The 14,836-nt window shown below is 42.0% G+C and overlaps 1 long non-coding RNA gene across 1 annotated transcript in view; it reads left to right on the forward strand.

Moving 5' to 3' along the window:
* Window positions 1-5,711: 5,711 nt before the first annotated feature.
* Window positions 5,712-14,836, forward strand: part of LOC107985869 (uncharacterized) — a 46,872-nt gene continuing 37,747 nt past the window's right edge. Inside the window, exons 1-2 of the long non-coding RNA XR_001739409.2 lie at window positions 5,712-5,899; window positions 6,735-6,780. This is a non-coding gene — a long non-coding RNA (uncharacterized LOC107985869). The remainder of the gene's footprint in view (window positions 5,900-6,734; window positions 6,781-14,836) is intronic.

The following is a 14,836-nucleotide window of genomic DNA, read 5'->3' on the forward strand; positions in this document are numbered from 1 at the left end:
AAGAAGCAGGAAAATACAAGAGGAGGAGAAACAGACACCACTTCTTGATGTGAAGAGTGTTGAAGAATTTGAGAACATGTTTAAAACCACTGGAAACTCATCAGTGACAACATTGCTAGTAAGGTAGAACTTAATATGATACATGATTCATCAGATTATATACCAAAACCCAATTATTTCTTTCCTATGGATTCTAAACTTTGTTTTTCCTTTTATTCAGGGAGGAAAGTGATTTTTGTTCTTGTGGATGATTGCAGAGATGGCCACATATTTTGCAGCCCTGTGCCTCTACCCTAATAATGGGGAATCTTCATTTCCATGTTAGATTTGTGGACCTAGCATGGTTTTTATTTTGGATTGTCTTGTTCAGCAGTTGTAATTGTACAAGTATGTTAGGGCCCATCTTGTTGACCCTGGTAGCACGATTTAGGCTTACAACAACTCCAAATGCTATTTTGGGTCTTTGGGTTTAAAGACAACAGAAACCAGGCCCTTGTTCTTAGGAGCTCACCATCCTTCTCTGCGACCATAGCAGATTCCCAGTTGTTTTAAACTGTACCTGGAATTTTGATATTGTTCAGGTATAGTGAGACCAAAATATCAGGAGACAATGGCCATTAAAAAGATAGTTTGTAACTTACAGCTCCCAAGAAGGGCATGCCATGTCACAGGGGTCCACACGGGGAAGCACCAGGGTTGGTCAGGAGGCAGAAGGAGCCAGGAGAAAACATAGGCAAAGCCTTGCTTGTGGTTTTCATGGAAAGAAAACCAGCCAGACTGGAAATCCTCACAATTCGCAGGGCCTGGGTAGATTATTCAGAAATCTTACCTGCACAGTGGGGAGTATAATTATCTCTAGACTACATTTCTCTGGCCCTGCCTAACAAATCTTTAAAGCAAGACTTTAAAGAATGGAAAGAATGAATGAAGCAAGGTACGCAGCTGAGCAGGCTTAGGGGATTTGAATAATCTCTGCAAGCTCTGGCCTATCTGAGTGGCTCCTCGTTGTGTCTTCCCTGGCCCTGGGATGCTTAAGGCGGAGGAATATTGCCCTCTTGGAATGTAAGACCCAGGTAAAGGGGCAGGTGTGAGTATAGACTCAGGATTGGTTGGCTTGCACATCAAAGACATGCTCCAAGGCAAATGTTTACCATCTCTAGGAATTAGTTAACCCTGGGAGGTCAGTCTCTCCGTGGTCAGTTGAACCCCAAATGTCAGAGCATCAGAAATACAGAAAATAAGAAAATATAGTTAAAAATAGTTACTTCACTAATACGAGCCTCAGTGAGGTCACCTGTGGATTCAGGCCTGTTTGGGTGCACTTGGTGGATTGCAAGAGGCAGCGTCTCAGAGCTCTGCTTACATGGAAGAGTGAAAGGACCACCTGAGACTAAAAAGGTCGAAAAGTAAAGACAGCTGTGGTCTACCACCTTGTTTAAGAAGAGTATGGGCCTATTAGAAGAGAGCAGTAATTTGAAATAAAGCTTGAATCCAGCCTAGTCTCCAGCCTGGGCCTTAGAGCCACTGGGAAAGCTGTTTCTCTATGAACTCACATAAGATACAAAGAAGCTGAGGCATCAGCATCACCGATGGCAGCCACTGCAGAGGAACTTGCAGGTCCCACCACCTCAGCTCAGCCACCAGCACGTCATCAGGGCTTCGCACTGACATTGCAGTGACAGCAGACAACATCAATGATGCCCTTGCTAGGTAGGAGCAGCTGTGGTGATGGCATTAATGGGCACCAAGGGACAGAACTGACGCTTTTCTTCCTCAGCAATGACTAGAGGCATTGCCACAGCAAAAGGAGGGAAAAAAAGGCCACTACTGTGACACTTCCAATTCTGGCCAAGATGGAGTAATAGGGACTGAAATTACCTGCCTGAAACAACCTAAGAAAAATCTGATAAATTAGATGAAACTATTTTTCAAGACAGGGAACATCGGATAATGAAGGACAGAGATCCCTGAGGAATGAGAAACAAGGTGAGCCTTACAATTATTCTAGCAATTGCATTGAAAGAGTTTCCAGGTGTATTAGTCCATTTTCACCCTGCTATAAAGAATACCTGAGACTGAATAATTTATAATCAAAAGAGGTTTAATTGACTCAGTTCTGCATGGCTTGGAAGGCCTCAGGAAACTTACAATCATGGCAGAAGGCAAAGGGGAAGCAGATCACGTCTTAAATGGTGGCAGGAGAGACAGCATTCAGGGGGAAGTGCCAGGAGGAAAAAAGAAAAAAAGGACACTACTGTGAGAACTTGTTCTCAGAGTTCAGGTGAGACATCAGGGACACCCAGAATTCTTTTCAAAGAATCTGAGGGCAGGTAGACTTCACCCAGAGCAGATGGTGGCAAAGCCAGGGCAGGCCTGTCCCACAGCTGGTATCATTACCCTGTTCTCACATCCACATCGGGGAAGCCTGAGCACCTCCTTGGTTCTCCACCTAGAGCTCCAGGATATATCCTTGAGGATTGCTGTTTGCCACTCAGGAATTTATTTGGAGGTTATCATTTTGATGATAATCTTTAAAAAAGTCAGATCTCTACTCACCATCTGGATGACTACATCATCATGAAATACCACTACATAATTCAGTGCTTGCATTTGTAATTCTGTTTTCTGTTTATGCTAGCATCAAATAGAGGATAAAGACATAGCATACTGCTTGAACGTAGATTTTGCAGTAGAAAAAGGAGTGGGAGAATTGAGCTAGTCAATGCTGGTGATGATAGAGGCATGCTGAGCTGAACTAGCACTGAGCTGTGAGTAGTGTATTCATGTATGTGGTGAACAGATACATTACCCAGACCGCCTTGTTGTTCAGACCAGCTTGCAGTGAGGAGGAAATACACAATGGAAAATGTTCTGTTTCTGATTCACACCACAGTTAGTTGCATTAGATTCCCATAAAGTGCAGGTTTCAAAAATTCCTCTAATGTAGCTTCATCTTTGAATATATAAGGCAGCCATATAAGGTCAACAAATGGCAAATCAACAAAATTCGCATTTGAGGCTTGTTTACTGACAGAACTTTTTAAAATTGAATTTGAGGTCTGCTTATCTTGAACTAGAAAAACAAAACTTTTGTGTTTTGCAATTTCTTATAGTATAATTGTCCTAATAAATACTCACTACAGTAGCTTTCTGAGGTCAAAATTCAGGAACAGAATTAAATGTAGAAGTGGAGCCAAGCCTCCTACTTCTACTCCTAAACCTCATTTTGGTCATTTTGCTTATCAAAATAACATCATCGGTCCCATTAAATTGCTATTATTAATTAAATAGTGTGCTTTTGTAAGTCTATATTAACTTTGAATTGTTTTGGTTCTATGGTTGTATAAGAAATAAAGGACTTTATACCTAGATTTATAGTTGTATACACTTCAGTAATATTATAATAAAATATAGCATTGAGAATCTGTAAGAATTTTTCCTTTTTATAAAAGGTCTATTTGCTTCTTAATTTTGAGAAATCCTTGATTAGCAAAATGAAGCACCACATATTCCACTACATATTGACCTAGATTTCTGCCATTGTTCAACAGCATACATTACTTCAACACAATTGAAATTTATCCCCAGACTTCTTTAACCTGTAATTAAATCTTTTATTTTTTCTTTCGTGACAGAGAGTTGCTCTGCCGCCCAGGCTGGAGTGCAGCGGCATGATCTCAGCTCACTGCAACCTCTGCCTCCTGGGTTCAAGTGATTCTCCTGCCTCAGCCTCCCGAGTAGCTGGGATTACAGGTGTGCACCACCATGCCTGGCCAATGCTTTTTGTATTTTTAGTAGAGATGGATTTTTGCTATGTTGGCCAGGCTGGTCAATTAAATCTTTAATATTCAGACTACCGAAGTCCAAGCCCCTTTCTCGAATGAGGCATGCCTTCTTTTACTGGGCAGCTGACTGTTGTAAGTTCTGGGATGCCTGGAGCTGGCGTGTCCTTGTTAGTTATTGCCCCCAGCCACAGGTGTTCCCAGAGCACTGGTGGATCCCATTATGAGGACTGGCCTGTTTTTCAAGTGTCCAAAGCACAGTTAAGACAAGGCCCTGGAGTTTAACTGAAAAAATAAGGATAGTCCGAGAACAACAGAGAGTAACTGATATGTTTTGGCTCTGCGTCCCTACTCAAATCTCATGTCATGTTGTGATTCCCAGTATTGGAGGAGGGGCCTGGTGGGAGGTGACTGGATCATGGGGGTGGTTTCTAATGGTTTGGCACCATCCCCCTAGTGCCGTCCCGTGATAGGTTCTCATGAGATCTGGTCGTTTAAGTGTGTGGCACCTTCCCCCCTCGACCCATCATGTAGATGTGCCTGCTTCCCTTTCGCCTTCCGCCATGATTCTAAGTTTCCTGAAGCCTACCCAGAAGCAGAAGCCAGTATAGCCCGCAGAACTGGGAGTGGATTAAACCTCTTTTCTTTCTAAATTACCGAGTCTCAGGTATGTCTTTACAGCAGTGTGAGAATGGACTAATACAGTAACATAGTTAATACCACCAGAGGTTTCATTTAGGGCTTGCAGACCAATTCCTGACCTCTGAGCTCCCACTCCCCTACCCCAGCTCTCTGACTTGTCCCTAGAAGCCCTGCCCAGCCCCCACTGAACCTCTCCAGGCCTCTCTCCACCTCACAGGCCTGGTCTCCAGCTTTCTTCCTATCACAGAATGACCCAGAGTGCAAACGTCCATCTCCTCCCGGGAAACTCCTGCCACTACCCAGATGGTGAGCTCTGCCCTCCAAATGCTGGCTTATCCAGTCTTAAATCGCACTTCATGTGCTATCCCAACTGCACAGCTCCCATCCATATTAAGGGGCAAAAAAAGTGGCTCTAATTCTGCAAGGATATAGTCATCTTAAAAATACATTCCATTTATATTACAAAACAGAACTTAATAAAAGGTCTGCAGCATCTACATCCGGGTTTATAATAGCTTCAATTTTCTCCAAGAAAAATAAAAGCACGTGTTTTATATTTGTGAAATTAATGTGCCCTTTTTGGTCCTTTCCACCCAAATATAGAAAATCTGCTCCAAAAGTGAATTATATTATATCTAAAATTTCTAAAATAATGACAACAATAATAATAATGAAAAACAAAGTATCAGCTCTTTTGGATATTATAGTGAATAAGGAAAAGTTTTTTTAAATGCAAAAATAATATCAAACGTTCAAAACCTATTTGTATTTTGTGACAATATAATATAGCAGTGGAATCTATGAACCCTGATTCCAGGTCTAGAATCAGACTAGCTGGGATTTAAGATCCTGGCTCTCCTATTGGCTAGCTGGGCAAATGACCTGAACTCACTGTGTTTTCCTATCCTCATCTGTAAAATGGGGTTGACAGTACCTCCCTCATAGGGTTACTATGAAGATTTAAATATATAACAGCTTAAAATATTGCCCACTGTATAATAAGTACTCAGTACATGTGAACTGTGATGATCATAATGATGATGATAATGAAGACAGTGATGATGGTAGTGGCAGTGATGGTGGTGATGATGGCTGGGTATCTGAAGGCAGTTAAAAAAAATCCTAGAAAGAGTTCCAATTTGTGCTTCTCATTATCATCATTGGTAATGAACATGAATAGTGGACATTCTCTTACTCTTCAGTGCCCTTTTATCCCCAATGTGGCTTGTGCCATTTAAAGTACAATGAGGGACTCAGAAGAAGCTATGGTTGAGCCAATCGAATCTTTCTGACCCTTCTTACTTTTGTGGTGACAGTCACGTTATCAGGAACTCTAGTGAGCACAGTTCTTTGTGGTTCTTCATGCAGGTTTAGCAGGGCAGAGCAGTGTCAAGCTCCAGGTACGAGAGGAGAAGTCTGAGGAGGACCATCAGGCTGGGAGACTGCAGGGGACAGAAAGTTAGAGGGACTGTGAGGTGAGGGGGCCAGAGGGGAGGGTCTTCAGATCATAAGGTGAGCAGCTGAAGAACTTCCCCCTGAACTCTCAGAAGATAAATCCTCTTGCTATGGCTCCCCCAAACTCCCTGGCTGTATGGGGTAGGGTAGAAGTCCAGGCTCTGGGAGTCTGGCCTTGGCTGCGTCTTCAGCGGGCTGCGAAGCTGTTAATCTTCTTATTCATCTCTCTGGACACTGCTGGTGGGAAGTAGAGATGAGATTTCTTTTCTTGATCTCTGTCCCTTCTGCTTCCACTCCCCACCTTACCTCTAGGAATCTTTTCTGCTGTCAGCTCCCAGAAGCAGGAAAGGAATCCCCAAATCAGAACTTCTCCTTGGGCCCCCATGATGTCACAGCTCAGTGGACAAAAAAGATATTCGTGACAGGGTCACTAACCTGGTTACTCATTCAGTCAATGATATTTCATTAAGAAAGCTTAAAGTGGTTAACATCATGAGTCCCCAAAAGAGCAAACTTAAGTGATCCTAAAGCGTGTCACTATATTCATTTATAATTATGAAAACAAAATACTGTGGCCAAAAATGCTTTGCGATTTTGAAGTAAAAGATGCTGTCTAAGCATTTCTGAGTGCTCAAAATGTATCCTTTATGTTAAAGAAATATGAATTAAATATAAATGATAGTTTTATGACAGTAGAGCAAATGGATATGTTTTAAGAAGGAATGAATGACCAACATTTATTATTATTATTAGTTTAATGTTTGCATGATGGCTTGCATATTTTTGAAACAAGTTATTTAGTATAAACATTAGGCAGTTTATATTTACTGTATTTACTGTTTGCTTTATCAACAGGTAGAAGGTCTTGAGTTCGCTGACGTTACTCTCAAAATACTTTCAGGTAATTGTTGTCAAACAAGAGTTGACAATTTGCATTTTCTTGATTACTAATGGTGAGTATTTTTTCTTTTTATTTTATTTTATTTATTTATTTATTTATTTTTATTTTTAATTTTTTTTGAGATGGCGTCTCCCTCTGTCACCTAGGCTGGAGTGCGGTGGCATGATCTCAGCTCACTGCAACCTCTGTCTCCTGGGTTCAAGTGATTCTCCTGCCTCAGCCTCCTGAGTAGCTGGGATTACAGGTGCACACCACCATGCCTGGCTAATCTTTTGTATTTTTAGTAGAGACGAGGTTTCACCATGTTGGTCAGGCTGGTCTCGAACTCCTGACCTCGTGATCTACCCGCCTTGGCCTCCCAAAGTCCTGGGATTACAGGCGTGAGCCACCACGCCTGGCCATGATGAGTATTTTTTCTAAGTGAAATAAGCCAGGTGCAGAAAGACAAATATCATATGTTTCATTCATATGTGGGAGCTAAAGAAGTTGATCTCATAGAAGTAGAAAGTAAAATACAGGAGGCTGGGAAGGGTAGTGGGGAAGAGGGACAGGGAGAGGTTGATTAACAAATACAAAAATATAGTTAGATAGGAGGAATAACTTCTAGTATCCCATAGTATAGCAGGGTGACTATAATTAATAATTTACTGTGTATTTCAAAATAGCTGGAAGAGAGGATTTGGAGTGTTCCCAATACAAAGAAATGATAAGTGGTTGAGCTGATAGATATGACAATTACCCTGATTTGGTCATTACACATTATATGCATGTACTGAAATATTACATATGCCCTATAAATATGTACAATTATTATGTGTCAATTAAGAAAGAAAAAGAAAAAAAGGCTTATCTCCCAGTGATCACAGGGATGAGGAAAGAAAAACACAATTAAATTTAAAAAAAGAGAAAAAAGACTATGAAATTAACTTCTCAGCTCACATCTGTGTTGCATGATCATGAGATAGAAAACCATCTTCCCATCAGTGTTTTGGAGCACCCTAAGGCCCCCCCATAAAGTTCACAGGCCACCTCTCCCACCTTTCAGATACCCCACCTTGCCAGCCTTCAAGATTTCCCCCAAGCTCTGCAGGTTCTCATTGAAACACTCAAATACTTTATTATTTATTGGAAAAAAAGGAAAATATGAGACTGGCCTCACCATTGGCTTTCATTTTCCTCTTCCCTCTCCTCCCTACCTTCTGGGTTGTGGCAGCTGTAATTGGGTTAAACTTTGTGTAATTCCGAAGCTATGCTCATAGAAAAAAATAGTGAAATTCTCTAGCGCACCTACTAATGACCCAAGAAAAACTGGAAGCTACTATAGACTTTTTTTTTCTTTTTCTAGTTTCTGGAACTCGGGGCTGATTCTTTTGAGATGCATAATTTAGTTGGAGCCAATTGATGAAGGAGTCAGTTCTTATTTAAGGAAACTGCCTTCAAGCTCAAGTAGAAATCTTGAGACCCAGTATGAAATTTCCATTTTCACATAGCATACTATAAAAAATTGTCTGTTTTTAAAAATGAACTTATGTAAAGACAGTCAATCTATTCAGTTTATGGCTTTCTTTTTTTTTCTAACTTCAAACCAAAGGTGTTTTAATTCCCATAGAAAAGTATTAACAAACAATGGTGACTAACTTCATTCTTATAATTAGCCTTTTGTGGTTGCAAAATGTCTTCACATGCTTTGTTTTTTTACTTGGTCCCATGACAGTTCTTTAAGGTCACTGGGACCTGGACTCCCACTTCTATTTGATGCCTGAGGAAACTGACCATCCAAAGCAAAGTAGGCTACCCGAGATCATGTGGCTGTTAAGTGGTGGGTCTGGGATAGGGCTCATCTTTCAACCAAAAATAATTATTCTTAATTAATGGAGTACAATTTGCAGTGATTTGGTACTTGCTTTGTAGACATACAAAGTTTATAAAGTCTCAGAAATTTGAGGATGCAGTGGGAACTCACCTTTGGAATGGGGTGGAAATGGGCTGAGACCTCCACGAATAGGTGGCTGTTTACAAACTCAGACCCATAATGCTTCCTCCCCTGAAGAGGTTTCCTTTCCTGCTCCTACTGGGATATACTGGGACCTGACTGGCTCAGTCTCCCTCCTTTAGTTTTTCAAATCTGTATATGACAATCTTAGGCAGCAAAATATATTTCAGGTGGTGTGGTGGTTCATTCCTGTAATCTCAGCACTTTGGGAGGCCCAGGTGGGCAGATTACTTGAGGTCAGGAGTTCAAGACCAGCCTGGCCAACATGGTGAAACCCTGTCTCTACTAAAAATACAAAAATTAGCCAGGTGTGGTGGCACATACCTGTAATCCCAGCTACTTGGGAGGTTGAGGCAGGAGAATCACTTGAACCTGGGAGGCGGAGGTTGCAGTGAGCCAAGATCACACCACTGCACTCCAGCCTGGATGACAGATAGGGACTCCATCTCAAAAAAAAAAAAAAAAAAAAGCTTCAGGTCAAAGGCTGGGTTAGGTTATTTGCCAGACAAACAATAATGACAAATAACCTTGGAAAAGAAAGTATGTTAATATCTCTTGTTCATGATGTCAGGGCAAGAACACAAGCCCTAGGGGCCGACAGCCTGGCTTGCCCCCGGCCCTGCTGGTATTTGCAGAACGAACTCAGGCAACTCACTTTGCTGTGCCAATCCTGTTTCCTCACCTATAAAATAGGGCTGTACCTTCCTATTCTATTGTATTCTTATGACTATTAAATGAGATTTCATGGGAAATAATACTGATAAGCAGAGTTGCTTAATTGATGCAGGTTCTCCCTGTACTTTACAGACTTGGCTCTTGAATATCTCTCATTGCCTCCGAAAGCCAAATACATAGTTGCTCACTGCTGAAATGATGAGGTCCCTATGTTCTGCTCACCTTGCCTGAGGACACGTGCAGTTTTTCCTTCCCCTGATAGGCGGCCTCAGCAGCCTATCAGTGCAGGGGCACCTTTTCCTGGGGTGCACACAGTCGGAGAGTAGCCAACCTTCAAAAATAATTATTGAATAAAAGAACAGAGATGGCCTGAGTGTTAATTCATAACACAGGACCCCCCTCAAGTGGGCTCTGTAACATGATGATTTTATTTATATTTTGTTGAGGGCCAACAAGGAATATGAGTGTCATTTAAGCCTAATCCAACTTAGAGGTCACTATTTCCTACATCCTCAGCTGCGAGTTTAGAGACCATATTGGGTGGCAGCAAAAGAGCAGTTTCAACCTGGGCCTCAGTGAAATGCTGAAGAAGGAAGTAGAGTCAAGAAGGTTGTCTTCTTTAAACTTTAAAAAGGCAGGAAACAATGGCCCTGCTCAGAGAAAAGATGGCTACATTTAGTACATCCAGGGCTTCCTTCCTATTGACCCAATTTTTCAAGGGTGTATCAATGCTTGATACTCCCAATAACACTGTGAGCTTTTCATCCCATCAACTACTTGCACATTCAACAAATAACTATTCAGCACCTCTTATATGCCAGGCACTGTGCTAAGTGTTGGTGTGCAGTGCCCGACACTTAAAGAAAGGCACTTCAAGGTCTTTGAATTCAACTATTCAGTCTCTACTTGAATAGCTTTATTAAATCATTTTTCAGTCTCCAAAAATTAATGGTACATCATTAAAAACCTCCAACAAAGACCTATCCCTTTGGTGAAGAAGAGGCAGGTCTCTCTGGCTGCTCTGAAATGAGAAAGTCTTTCTTGTACAGAGCCCATTTAGGCCTCTGGTCCTAGCTCCACCCCTCTGGAGCCACAGAGAATAGGTTTAATCCCTCTCCATCTGCTATTCTTTCAAAACTGTGAAGACAGTTATCGCTTCTCCCTGAGTCTTTGCTTCTCAAAGCCAGCATTCCCAAATCTTTCTGCAGTACCACACACATCATGGTCCCCTCTGCATTCTCATCACAGTCCTTCTAATCCCCAAGAATGGTGGACAAAGAGGAAGGAATGACTGTCTACTTTGGAAACCAGGCATGATGATAATACTCTGAAATTTCTGGCAACCACATGAAGGAGAATAGGCACAGCCAGGGTCTGAAGATATCTAACATATATCAAATGCAGAATTTGGAGCAAATTAAGCGGATATTAACTGCAAGGAGATGGAATAAAAATAGGAGCATTTAGACAGACCTTCAGGAAAGTTTCCCACCATGAGCCTGGACTGTGCCAAACCCCAAGCATTTGGAAAACAGCTTGAGATGTTCAGCAAGTCCCAAATGCAAGCATTTGGGGATGGTTTGCGCTGTCTTAATTGTCCTTGTTTCCACTAGAGTAGCTTGACAAGGCACTCATTTGCTGAATTTCTTCCAGATAAAGAGTGGTTTCTTATTCGATACAGTTAGAGCCTCTCCCCCCGCCCTTTTTTTTTCCTCTTCTTTCTTTCCCCTTTTCTTTGTTGTTGGCCAAAGCTCTTCCCAGGAGACCACAGATTTCTCTCAATGAGGACTGTTTTCATTATCAGGTATGATGAGCATATTGAGGAAGTTGATTTATATTCAGTTAGAAGTTTCTCTTTAAGAGAAGAAAAGTGATCATCTCTCCTCTTAAAGTAGCTGGCACTTGTGCTGCAAATGTATTAAACGTTTCCAGATTAAATTCCAGCAGAGTACAGTCTATCTTTGTACAGGGATAATGGACTACAGTGTTTAGACAGACCCCTGCTTTCTGCCATGGAGGAGAAGGTTCAGGTATAATGCACAGAGACAAAAGGCTGCAGCAACCCAAACAGAAGTGCTGAGAACTGGCTGATACACCAGAGTCATCCAAAATGCCCTGGAGACTAAGGTGAGGAGGCTGCACTGAGCTAAGGTAGCACTCACCTTCCCAGGATCAAAAGGTAATATGCAGCAAAAAAGATCGGACATTCAGTTTGGCCAGGCCATGCTCTCAGGACATTTGGTGTGAACATACTAGTGGCGGAACACCAAGCCCAGTGGCAATGCATCCACATGACACAACCCCTATGAGACGAGAAAAGTTCTGGGGATACAGTTGGGAGATAGTGGAGAGGTCAATGATGGAAGACTGGTCTTTTCTTTTGACAAATTGGGGGTTGTTTTTAAGCAGAAAGAGGACAGCCCCAAATTTGCCAGTGCTCATTATGCATATTGCTCACTCATGAAGAACTGAGATCCAAGTAAACTTAAAATCATCTTGTCCTTCAACCTACTGATATTCGCAGGCTAACTCAATCACAGGGCGGTCTATCAGACCTTGCAGGCTGTCTACCGAATATCCTTTCTTGTATCATCTTGATAAGAGAACCCTGATTTTGTTAGGGGTGGGTGTAATTGACTTACTTGTGTCAGTTTCCACGCTATACTTTTCAGCATTCCATGCAAGAAGGACTAGCTTTGGAGTACAGTGTTAGCTAAGGAGGTATAAGCAGAAATCTGTGCGGATTTCCAGTAAAGTTTTCTTTTTTCAGGTGAGGGTTGAAACCATCTTGCTCCCTTTTTTATCTTCCTGTTTTAAATATGACTGTGAGGCTAGAATTTAGCAGCCATTTTGTGACAACGAGGATGACAGCCATGCGCTGAGATGGGGGAGCAGAAAAATGGAAGGAGCCTGAGACTTGATGGGTCTCCAGCAGCAGACCTAGACTACCTCCTTCTGCATCCACCAGTCCCCTCACCCACCCACCCCTTCTACATCCACCAGTCCCCTCACCCACCCACCCCACACATATACACACACTTCTCCACCTCAGGAAACGCAACCATCATCTTCCCCAAAGCTCTAGGAGTCATCCTTGATTTTCCCGTTTCTCTTACCATCCCCTCTACTCTTGTATATTCCATCTATTACCAAATTCTATCAATTCTACCAGCAAAATAGATCTAAAATTCATCTCCTTTTCATGTCTGCTGCTGCTTCTGCAGTGAACTCTTTGACACCTGGAATGTTGCAAGAGTCTCTTACTGAGTCTCTCCACAAGGGCTTGGCTTCCTGCAGTTACCTCTACACAACAGCAGAAGTGCTTTCCCAAAACAGGCCTGATGGCATCACTCCTCACTCCCCACTTAACACCCTTCTGGCTTTCCACTGCATTGAGTTTCTCATGAAAGCCCTGAGGCCCTGCATTGCAGGGAAAAGAAAGAGAGATCAGAGTGTTACTGTGTCTATGTAGAAAAGGAAGACATAAGAAACTCCATTTTGATCTATACCCTGAACAATTGTTTTGCCTTGAGATGCTGTTAATCTGTAACTTTAGCCCCAACCTTGTGCTCACAGAAACATGCGTTGTATGGAATCAAGGTTTAAGGGATCTAGGGCTGTGCAGGATGCGCCTTGTTAACAATATGTTTGCAGGCAGTATGCTTGGTAAAAGTCATCGCCATTCTCCATTCTCGATTAACCAGGGGCACAATGCACTGCAGAAAGCCGCAGGGACCTCTGCCCAGGAAAACCAGGTATTGTCCATGGTTTCTCCCCATGTGATGGTCTGAAATATGGCCTCGTGAGATGAGAGACCTGACCGTTCCCCAGCCCGACATCCGTGAAGGGTCTGTGTTGAGGTGGATTAGTAAAAGAGGAAAGCCTCTTGCAGTTGAGATAGACGAAGGCCACTGTCTCCTGCCTGCCCCTGGGAACTGAATGTCTTGGTATAAAACCCGATTGTACATTTGTTCAATTCTGAGATAGGAGAAAAAACACACTATGGCAGGAGGCGAGACATGTTGGCAGCAATGCTGCTTTGTTATTCTTTACTCCACTGAGATGTTTGGGCGGAAAGAAACATAAATCTGGCCTACATGCACATCCAGGCATAGTACCTTCCCTTGAACTTATTTGTGACACAGATTCCTTTGCTCACATGTTTTCTTGCTGACCTTCTCCCAACTATCACCCTGTTCTCCTGCTGCATTCCCGTTGCTGAGATAGTGAAAATAATAATAACTGAGGGAACTCAGAGACCGGGGCCAGTGCAGGTCCTCCGTATGCTGAACGCCAGTCTCCTGGGCCCACTGTTCTTTCTCTATACTTTGTCTCTGTGTCTTATTTCTTTTCTCAGTCTCTCGTCCCCCCTGATGGGAATACCCACAGGTGTGGAGGGGCAGGCCACCCCTTCACTGCATTACCTGGCTCCTGGCCACCTCTCCAACTTCTCTCACCACCCTTCCCTCTTCTTCCAGTGGCTCAAAACCACTCATTCTCACTCGAAATGTTCCTGCCTTCAGTTCAGCTCTATTTCATCCTTCAGGTCTTAGCTTAAGTATCATGAAAATTTTTCTGACCACCGTGTCTAGAGGAAATTACCCTGCTGTTGCTCTCAATCCTGACCCACTCCCTTCTTAACACTTTTACAACTTGCAATGATTGAATTGGCTTGCTTACCTGTAGTTATTTGGTTTCGGACAACAGACTCCACTAAGACAGGGTCCGCATCTTTTTTGTTATTTTTTATTCCTAGTGCCTAGCTTACTGCCTGGGACATAGTTAGAGCTCAGTAAATATTTGTGAAATTAATGGCGAATGAATTTTATTTGGATATGATATGATGCAGTATATGAAATTTTTCACTTGATAGAAGTATAATATGGAAATTTCTATCACAATGTTTATTTTAAGCTACTGTTTAGAAATCATATATAACATATACTTTTAAGCTCATTTATTTTTACTTTCTCACTTTTCAGTTGATGCTTATGTCAGAAAACATAATTTGAGTCATGAATGCATATTAAGACATAGATTGAAATTTAACTTTATGGCATCAAAATACTTTCCTGACCTTGAAATATCCTTTTTTTCATAATATTCTTATAAAATACTTTCTGACCATGAAATATTATTTTTCATATAATTCTTACAAAAACTAGATTCGCTTAATATTTCTATTTCTAAATGGAAAGATCAGAAAGACTTTTTCAGATTGGAATACAAATTCCAAAGAAACTACTTCTTTGGAAATCACACATGGGTGTTGTAAATAAACTTATTCCTGGGTAACAGCATGGTCTGTGGAATTAGAAAACCTGGATTCAGGCCGGGCATGGTGGCTGAGGCCTGCAATCCCAGCACTTCGGGAAGCCGAGACGGGCG

This window comes from Homo sapiens, chromosome 2 (genome assembly GCF_000001405.40).
Source record: "Homo sapiens chromosome 2, GRCh38.p14 Primary Assembly".
Taxonomy (NCBI): domain Eukaryota; kingdom Metazoa; phylum Chordata; class Mammalia; order Primates; family Hominidae; genus Homo; species Homo sapiens.